This window comes from Homo sapiens, chromosome 18 (assembly GCF_000001405.40).
Source record: "Homo sapiens chromosome 18, GRCh38.p14 Primary Assembly".
Taxonomy (NCBI): domain Eukaryota; kingdom Metazoa; phylum Chordata; class Mammalia; order Primates; family Hominidae; genus Homo; species Homo sapiens.
Window position 1 is genome coordinate 59,752,152 of NC_000018.10, and position 10,593 is coordinate 59,762,744.

General features: G+C 42.6%; 1 pseudogene; it reads left to right on the plus strand.

Moving 5' to 3' along the window:
* Positions 9,381 to 9,823, plus strand: RPS26P54 (ribosomal protein S26 pseudogene 54; annotated as a pseudogene).

Genomic DNA, 10,593 nt, shown 5'->3' on the forward strand with positions numbered 1-10,593 from the left:
AGATAGTTCTTTAAAATCAGTATTTTTCTGTGTCTCTCTGTCTCCATCTCTCTCTCTCTGCATTTCCCACCTCGTCCTCTCATTACATATGCTATTGTTCGTTTCTCTGGAGAATCACGACTAACATATTCTACCTGTTGTGATCTTTAAGGACTATTTTTGTTTTAAACAAAAGTCCTTCCAGGGTCTCATTCTGTAACCCAGGCTAGAGGGCAGTGGTGCAGTCACCATGCCCATCTAAATTTTTTCATATTTGTAGAGATAGGGTGTCACTATGTTGCCCAAGCTGGTCTTGAACCCCTGGCCTCCAGTGATTCTCCCACCTCAGCCTCCCAAAGTGCTGGAATTACAGGCCTGAGCTGCTGTACCCAGCCTTTCAGGACGATTTTTTGGATGGCAGCATGATTATTCTCTTAGTACAGAAATTTTTACTTCAGTTATTGATTATATTCCTGCTCAAATCCCTTTATTGAAGTTTGAAATCCAGGTCAATAAATTTATTGAATTTTGTGTCTTCAATATTTTTATAAGTTTAAACCAATAGTGCAGCTTTATTATACTCACAGGAAAACTCAAAACGGTTTTGAATCAGTATGACCAATGCAATTCTTTTAGCTCATTAGTAAGCAACTGACACTTCTTTGTTGGCAGTACATCCTAGTCTTCTACTGCATTTTGAAATCAACACATTCTTTAATATACCATATTTAAATATGTTACAGCTGAAGTCTGTCAACTTAAGCTCACTAATGTTCAGCAAACTAAAGTAATAGGCTTTGTTGCTTCTTTTAGTCTAATTTTGCTTTTCTTAAAATATGTTCTGTTGGCACTTAGCCTCTTTGTCCCATAAGCTGGTCCTTTAAAAATGAGTTTTACAGAAAAATAAGTTTTGCAAGCACTGAATGCTACAGGCCACTCCTGAAGATTTGTAATACATGTGGCATATTATAGATTTGAAAAGTTAGGTAGCAAAAGAACCTGTTTAAATTTATTGAATCTAATGTTTCCCAAATGTATTTGACCACATAATTTTTCTTTTTTTCCCCCCCCAACAACATCTACTGGAACACATTTTGGAAAATGCTAGTCTCATAACTTTCTGTCCTCCTTAAGGGTCATAAAAGGCTAGAAACAATATGGCCTTAAGGACATGTAACAAATAAAGAAAAGCACAAATTACATTATGAAAGCAAATAAACAGTCAAGATTCTAATAATTTCTGATAAAGAATCAGAGTCAGCTAAATAAACTATCCTTTGTTATTATTCTCCTTGTTTATATTTAGGTATAATGTCTCCTGTATAAATCATTACCAGCGGCGGCTAAGAGAACAGCATCTTCCTTTGTAAGGCTAACCAGTTTTATATTTAATTCCAAGTCTATAAATCGGGAATGTGACATTTCTCCCTTTGGCCTGTTTTAGAAATAATGATAAATGAATTGGGCTACCTGCGTGAGAAGGGAGTAAATCCACATCTTCCAAGAAGGAAATAAAGTCAGTTGCTGAGTTTTGGCCTTTGACTGCTCCTTCTGATCCATCTGCCTATCTCGGGTTGCTCTCAGCTGCAGAGATCAGGCACGTGGCTTGTGAGATAGGCCTGATGATGCTCCACACACCTTCACTGGGGTTTCTCTGAGCCCACCCCTGGGTGGTGAAAGGGAGCCCTGGGCGATTAGTGAGGGAAGGCTCTCCCGTATGGTACCCCACCATCTGCTCCTGCAGACTCCTTGATATGGTTTGGCTGTGTCCAAATCTCATCTTGAATTCCCACGTGTTGTGGGAGGGACCTGGTGGGAGGTAATTTAATCATGGCGGGGGGGAGGTCTTTCTTGTGCTGTTCTCATGATAGTGAATAAGTCTCAACGACATCCGGTGGTTTTATAAAGGGGAGTTTAACTGCACAAGCTCTCTTCTCTTGTCTGCTGCCATGTGAGACGCGCCTTTCACCTTCCGCCATGATTGTGAGGCCTCCCCAGCCACGTGGAATTGTAAGTCCATTTAAACCTCTTTCTTTTGTAAATTGCCCAGTCTGGGGTATATCTTTATTAGCAGCATGAAAACGGACTAATACACCCCCTATTTATGGGAGTGGGAATGGGAGCACATGAGAGTTCCCAGGGATAGGACAGTGGCCCCAGCAGCCCCAGCTGCTTAGCTCCACATTTCCCAGTAAAAGCACAGGGCCAAGACCCGGCCAATGGCCAAGAAAGCCCCAGCTGAGTAGTTTGCAGCCTTGCTGCTTATTTGAATCACTGGGGGACCTTTTAAAATACCCGGATGCCTGAAGCCTCGCTCCCTGCAGTTCTCATTTAATTGTCCCGTGGTTGGTACTGGACCTCTGGAGTTGCTGAGAATTCCCAGGTGATGCCAATGTGCCGCCAGGGTTAGGAACTTCAGTTTCATAAAAAAAGCACTTTGATATGCTCAATGCATATTATTTCCTGTTGATTTATTGATATCTTCATGATCTGAAAGAAGAAAGGCTACTAGGCTAGGCATGGTGGCTCACGCCTGTAATCCCAGCACTTTGGGAGGCTGAAGTGGGAGGATCACTTGAGCCCAGGAGTTTGAGACCAGCCTGGGAAACATGGCAAAACCCCGTTTCTAAAAAAAATACAAAAATTAGCTAGGCGTTGTGGCACGGGCCTGTAGTCCCAGCTACTCGGGAGGCTGAGGCGAGAGGATCCCCTGAGCCTGGAAGGTTGCGGCTGCAGTGAGCACCAGTCACACTGCTGCACTCAGCCTGGTCAACAGAGCGAGGCCTTGTCTCAAAGAACGAAGGCCACAGATCAAACAAGAAATGGTGCGTGGTGCATTTTATGTGGCTGAAATCAAATCAGTGGGGCAGGAAGAGGGAAGAACTGCTAGTTTGCTCTGGGTTTTGTTCGTTAGGGAAAAGTCAGCTGAAAGCAGCCCAACAAGTACAGCCCATTTATTCCTAAAATGTCTCCACTCTTGGGCCAGGGCGACCCAGAGTCCGTGGCTCTCAGACTGTAATTACTGATGAGGATTTTGGGGATGCTGCCTCTTCCTGAATTCCTGCCTATCAGGAAATCCAACCTGTGGCCACCAGCTCACATACCTGCTTAAAACTCCTTTCAACCTGGGCGCAGTGGCTCATGCCTATAATCCCAGCACTTTGGGAGGCCGAGGCAGGTGGATCACTTGAGCCCAGGAGTTCAAGACCAGCCTGGGCAACATGGTGAAATCTCGCCTCTACAAAAAATTAGCCGGGTGTGGTGGTGTGTGCCTGTAGTCCCAGCTCCAAGGAGTCTGAGGTGGGAGGATCACTGAGCTCAGTGGTTGAGGCTGCAGTGAGCTGAGGTCACACCACTGCACTCCAGCCTGGGTGTCAGAGTAAGACCCTGTCTCAAAAAAAAAAAACAAAAAACAAAAAACAAAAAAAAGAAGAAGAAGGCTGGGTGTGGTGGCTCACACCTGTAATCCTAGAACTTTGGGAGGCCAAGGCAGGTGGATCACCTGAGGTCAGGAGTTTGAGACCAACCTGGTCAACGTAGTGAAAATCCATTTCTACTAAATACAAAACTTTGCTGGGCACGGTGGCACACACCTGTGATCCCAGCTACGCAGGAGGCTGAGGCAGGAGAATCGCTTAAACTCGGGAGGTTGAGGTTGCAGTGAGCCAAGATCACGCCATTGCACTCCAGCCTAGGCGACAAGAGCGAAACTATGTCTCAAAAAAAAAAAAAAAAAAATTAGGAGCCTTGCTTAGCCATACTATTATTTTCTACTTCATTGGAATTTTAAATTATTTTTCATCTGCTTTATTTTTTGTTTTTTGAGACAGTCTCAAAAAACAGGCTGGAGTGCAGTGGTGTGATCTCAGCTCACTGCAACGTCTGCCTCCCGAGTTCAAGCGATTCTCGTGCCTCAGCCTCACGAGTAGCTGGAACTACAGGCACACACCACCATGCCCCACTAATTTTTATTTTTCATCTACTTTATACTCTACTTCATTTTACTGAAATGGCTTTGAAAATCTAGATTCTAGTCCTAGCTTTGAGTTTTATTAGTTGTATCCTTACCTTTTCTAATCTGTATCATGAGGATGTTAACATCTAGACTGTAAGTCACGGGACTATTGTGGGGATAGGGATGTGAAAATAAGTAAGTTCTAACATGCTATGTAAATGTAAGCATCTTCATTTCTTTAACGGGGGAAAAAATCAGTCAAAATACGCTTTTGTCAATAGCATATGCCCTGAAGAAATTCAATGATTCTCTGGAGTTAATCCTCAGAGACTATTAACACCCACACAGTGTTCCCCCATTTGAGATCCAGATGGTATCCCTGACCCCAGAGCCTGTTGCTTAGTGATCGCTCATGGGACCACACTTAAAATCATAGCCTCCCAGCCACTCTGACAAGGCAAGTCCAATCTTTTTCTCAAGAGAATGAAGAGTTCAGTCCCAAAGATACTTGGAATCTACTGTACAAGGAAACACAAACTCAAGTCCACAGAGTGCAACGTACTTGTTGAAAACAAACTAGGCTTCCAACCAATTCACACCGAGTGCTGAGAAGGAAAGGGAAGGAAGCTATATGAAGAGAGGGACCCTTGGTGTGATCCTGCCCCAGTTTTCATTCTAGAAAAACAAGGGCTGGGCACTGTGGCTCACACCTGTAATCCCAGCACTTTGGGAGGCTGAGGCGGGCAGATCACCTGAGGTCAGGGGTTGGAGACAAGCCTGGCCAGCATGGTGAAACCCCGTCTCTAATAAAAATACAAAAATTAGCTGGGTGTGGCAGCACATGCCTGTAATCCCAGCTACTGGGGAGGCTGAGTCAGGAGAACCACTTGAACCCAGGAGGTGGAGGTTGCAGTGAGCCGAGATTGCACCACTGCACTCCAGCCTGGGCAACAGAGTGAGACTCCATCTCAAAAAAACAAAAAAGAAAAGAAAAAGAAAAATGATCGGGTGACTGTGTTAGGTGATTGCTCTCAAGGACCACAATGTGATGGCACCTAAAATCCACCAGCTGACAGCCTGTCCTATTTCTCTAGGTTGCTCCTGTCCCTCTCACTATTGATTTACTTATTTATTTTTTGTCATCTTGTTTGTAATTTGTATATATTTAGGGGTATAGGTGCAAGTTTCAAACACACATGTTACATAGTGGTGAGGTCTGGGCATTTTGTGTCCCTATCACCCAAACAGTGAATGCTGTATCCAATAGGTAGTTTTTCAACCCTAACGCCCTTCTCACCTTCCTACCTGTTGTAGTCTCCAATGTCTCATTCCACTCTATATGTCCATGTGTACCCTTTGTTTAGCTCCTACTTATAAGTGAGAACATGTGGTATTTGGTTTTCTGTTTCTGAGTTATTTCACTTAGGATAATCGCTTCCACCTCCATCCATGTTGCTGCAAAAGACATGATTTCATTCTTTTTTCTGGATGAATGCTGTTCCATTTTGTTTATATACCACGTGTTCTTTATCCAGTCCTCCACTGATGGACATTTAGGTTGATTCCATATCTTTGCTAGTGTGAATAGTGCTGTGATAAACATACGCGTGCAGGTATCTTTTGGATACAATGATTTCTTTCCCTTTGGGCATATACCCAGTAGTGGGATTGCTGGGTCAAATGGTAGTTTTATTTTTAGTTATTTGAGAAAGCTCCATGCTGTTTTTCATAAAGTTGTACTAATTTACATTCTTATTTATTGCTGTTTACACCTTGCTGGCCTTCCATGGCTGCCTTGGCCTTTCTTGAACATGCGTCCTGCTTGGCATGCAGCCCACATACTGACGATGCTCCCCACCAGGTCCTCAGCATCCTCCCGAGTCCTGGGTCACAGGCACTCCCTCCACCAGCTCTCACCCGGGCCAGCCTCCAACCTTCTCCTCACCCAGGGAAGGGAAATTCAGATAATCTTGAGCTTTAGAGAAGAGTTCTTAGAAGGAAATACAACTGCAAATCCTCAACAACATTTTGGAAAAGCCTCTAACACTATCTTCCTCTTACATCAGTCTGATTATATTGATTCACCTCCAAGAAAGATGGGAGTTCAAGTGGTGCATCCTTTTATTGGAGGAGAGTCAGGAGCTGGATGTTTGTCTTGGCTCAAGGTTGGAAAAAGTTCCTTGTCCTCTCTGGGGGACAGAGTCCTTGTCAGTAAATAAGGAGATAAGATTGGGAGATCGTGGAGGTCCCTTCAAGCCCTGACCTTCTAATGCTTTTAAGGTTTCTATGATTCTATGTGCAGTTCTGTCCAACTTCTCTCATCATAAACGCCAAGGGGGAGTTAACTAAAGTGTGGGTCATCCCCAGTAAATCTTTAAGAGAATACTTTAAAAAGTTTTTAGGCCAGATGATATTGTCATGGTGTTTCTTTTAAAATTTCAAACAACAGCCAATTCCAGTGTAATATATATTGTTCCAGAAAATAGAAAAGGATGGAAATTTGTGAAACTACATATTCTCTGAAAATATCTGGTAAAGCATCAAAATGATAAAATTATACAAATAGAAACATTCATGCAAAGCTGTAAATTAAAATCAAGAGTACATTAAGAGACCTAGAATAAACAAATTCATAGAGACATAGAATAGTGGCTTCCTGGGCCTGAGTGGAGGGAAAAATGGGGACGGGGAGCTTATTGTTTAATGGGTATAGAGCTTCTGTTTGGAATAATGAAAAGTTCTGGAAATGGATACTGGTGGTGGTTATACAACATTGTGAAAATATTTAGTGCCACTGAATTATGCAATAAAAATGGTTAAAATGATATATTTTATATTTTGCCACAAAAATTACCAATAACTAGAGACAGGCAGAAAAAACTACACACACACACACACACACACACACACAGTTGTGCCAGTGCCGATTTCCTGATTTGGATGTGCTGTAGTTACATCAGATGTGACCACGGTGGGAAACTGGGTGAAGAGAACTTGGGACCTCTTTGTACTATCTTTGCAACTTCCTGTGCATCCAAAATGCTTTCAAAATAAATTTAAAAGAGCGCATTAAAAGCATAAGCCAAAATAACCAAGAAATATTTACCTGCAAATACAAGAAGGACTGACAATTGAAAATCTACCAATATTTCACACCTATAGCTGAAATAAGATAAAGCATATGATTTTTTTTAGAGGCTTAAAATTCTTCCATTAATTCCATTAGACTTCCCTGTAACAGATTGTTTTCCTTAACATCATCAAAAAGATCCTTCTCAACAACAAAGAGCCTTAACATTCAAATACTGTAGGCGTTTTTAATAAAATCAGGAGTAATACAGGATGTTCAGTATTGTTACTTGTTCTGGAAGTTTGGGCATTCTATGGCCAGTGATTACAACTGTGAAAATAGAGATGGAGGAAAAATGCATGAAAATGTGGGGACAGAGTGAGAGGCTACTTTTGAATGGACCATCATCTACTATGGCTTTGGATTTATCTTTTAACTTTTCAGTCTTGTTTATGTCTTATAAAAGATGTTAACATTAGAGAATTAATTGGACTAAATCACTTTATTACTTTTACTACTGCTTTTCTGTTTCTTAGCATTGAACAGTTTCCTTCATATTCCTTCCTTATTTGGTCCTTGAAAAAAATTTATTTTTTTTGCTCCCGGCCACTGTGGTTCACACTTGCAATCCCGGCTACTTAGGTGGGTGAGTCAGGAGGCTCACTCAGGCCCAGGAGTTCGAGGCTGCAGTGAGCTGTGTTTGCACCACTTCACTGCAGTCTAGATGACAGAGCAAGACCCCATTTCTAAAAAATAAATAGGCTGGGTGTGGTGGCTCACACTGGTAATCCCAGATCTTTGGGAGGCCAAGGTGGGAGGATTGCTTGAGCCCAGGACTTTGAGACCAGCCTGGGCAACATGGTGAAGCCTTGTCTCTACAAAACATACACTAGGTGTGGTGGCATATGACTGTAGACCCAGCTACTCAGGAGGCTGAGGTGGGAGGATCCACTGAGCCCAGGAGGTAGAGGCTGCAGTGAGCCCTGGTTGTGCCACTGCACTCCGGCCTGGGCAACAGAGTGAGGCCTTGTCTCAAAATTAAATAAATAAATAAATAAAAATTGTTTCTATGGAAGACCAAAATATAAAACAGGTAAAACTAGAGTTGCTGTGATTGAAACAGGGGTAGAGCACCCAAATCCTGGTCTATCCTGATCCTTCCCTCCCCCAGCCAGCTCTGCGTGAAACAGGCTGCTAAGACAAACTCAGGGAACCAGTGGATGGGGAGGCCCTGCTCTCGCGTTCCGGGTAGTGCTAATATGTTATGGCTGTTGGAAGCATACCAGGTGAGGTGATTCATGGGATTTGGTATAGAAGCCTATTTAAAGACAAAGACAAAGAACTAAGTCTGGTCTGTATTGGACTACTTGCTTCAGGACCTGGAAGCACTCTCATTTCTGCCTCTCATCTAATCAACTGACCCTGAGTGAGGGCCCTCTCCTCTTTCAGCCTCTGTTTCTTATCTGCAATGTGAGAAGGTTCATTTACTTAACATTCATTCAGCAAAAATCATGTTATTGTATCCTTGTTACTTGGTCACTTTTGCCAGTGGATGTTGACGTCAGAATAGACCACCAAACTCCATCCAGCGGGTCACCACAGTCAGCTATTGGGAGCAGAGGTCAAGCCAACTCATACTGCAAATCTCAGCCTTGGCTACATGTAGAATCGCTGGAAGGAACTTTTAAGATAGCCAGATGCCCAGGCCCCACTCAGTCCAATTAAATCAGAACTTTATGCATGACATCCGGGAAGTACTGTTTTTAGAAGCGTCCCTCATGATGCTAATGAGCAGCCAAGATGAAAAACCATTGTCTCAGCAGAATCATAGAGTATGTTTTGAGTGATTTCAGTCAAAATGAGACAGTCTACAGGGGCCCTATGATCTTTTCATCATCTTAATGACTAACTAGTAACATTTGCCATTAATTATTTTCAGATTAAACTTGTCTCTATTTTGATTTATGACACAGACTCCTAAGCTTTTAACAAAATGCCCATATGCCTATGCATATTTAACGCTTGTTCTGGAGAAAAATGTAGACCCTGTCAAGAAATTCATCATCATTAGTGAGTTATATTTTTCTGATTCCTTCAATAGAGGTCACACCATATAGGCAATGATTCCCAACTCTGACAATGGCAATGCCTCCCATTTTTAAGTGATTAACTGTTTTCTCTCTCGAGGTTACATATACCATACTTGAATGTAGTACATACAGCGTATGTGTGACTTTGCCTAGTAACTCCATGGCACTATCTTACTACATTCAGCTGTCAGGATTTATTGGATCATGAGCTGGGATGATCCATTTCTATGGTGGGGAGGCTAGTTCTAGCCTGTTTGCAGTCTGTGGGTGTTAAAGAGGAAGGCAGTCCTCTCTCCGGTCCGTGCCTCTAAGATGACAAAGAAAAGAGGGAACAATGGTCGTGCTAAAAAGGGCCGTGGCCACATGCAGCCTATTCGCTGCAGGAACTGTGCCCGATGCATACCCAAGGACAAGGCCATTAAGAAATTCATCATTCACAACATAGTGGAGGCCGCAGCAGTCAGGGACATTTCTGAAGCAAGCGTCTTCGATGCCTATGTGCTTCCCAAGCTGTATGTGAAGCTACATTACTTTTTGAGTTGTGCAGTTCACAGCAAAGTAGTCAGGAATCAATCTTGTGTAGCCCGCAAGGACCAAACACCCCCACCCCGATTGAGACCTGCGGGTGCTGCTCTACAACCCCCACCAAAGCCCATGTAAGGAGCTGAGTCCTTAAAGACTGAAGATGGACTATTCTCTGGAGAAAAATAAAATGGAAATTGTACTTAAAAAAAAAAAAAGAGGAAGACAGTTCTTAGCGAAGTGCTATAAATCTCTTAGACCTTTGAGGGTAATTTATAGTTTTTGGAGCAACCCCACCTCTAGCTTAGCTTTCTACTCAACATTATCTCATTGTTCCAATTTCATGTAGGCTGAGATTCGAATGTTGGAGATCAGAATAAGTTGCATACATTTCTAAAAAGCGGAGGATTGCGCTCGGAGGAGTTTTAGGGCAGCAAAGCTATTCTGGATGATGCTGTAATGATGGATAGGTATCATACCCATAGATTGTCCAAACCCATACATTATCCAGCACCAAGAGTGAACCCTAATGGAAACAGTGGATTCTGGGTGATAATGATGTGTTAATGTGGGTTTGTCAATTGTAATAAATGTACCACTCTGGTGGGGAATTGACAACGTGGGAGGCTGTGCATGTGTTGGGGCAGGGGGAATATGGGAACTCTCTGTACTTTCTGCTCAATCTTGCTGTGAATTTAAAATTGATTCAAAAAAGGAGTCTATTTAAAAACTAAAAGAGAAGAATTTGGAGTTTTGCTTAAATTTTTTTAATCCTAGAAATTGAGGAGCAGCAAAACAAAACAAAACCCTAGGAAACAGTCAAATCTCCTCTACAAATCACTCTCTTAGTGATCCTGGGTCCACCATCCTTTGCTCTTCCTACATGGTCTCCTTACTGTTTCCTCCTGATATAGTTTGGATGTGTGTCCCTGCCCAAATCTCATGTTGAGTTGTAATAACCAGTATTGAAGGTGGGG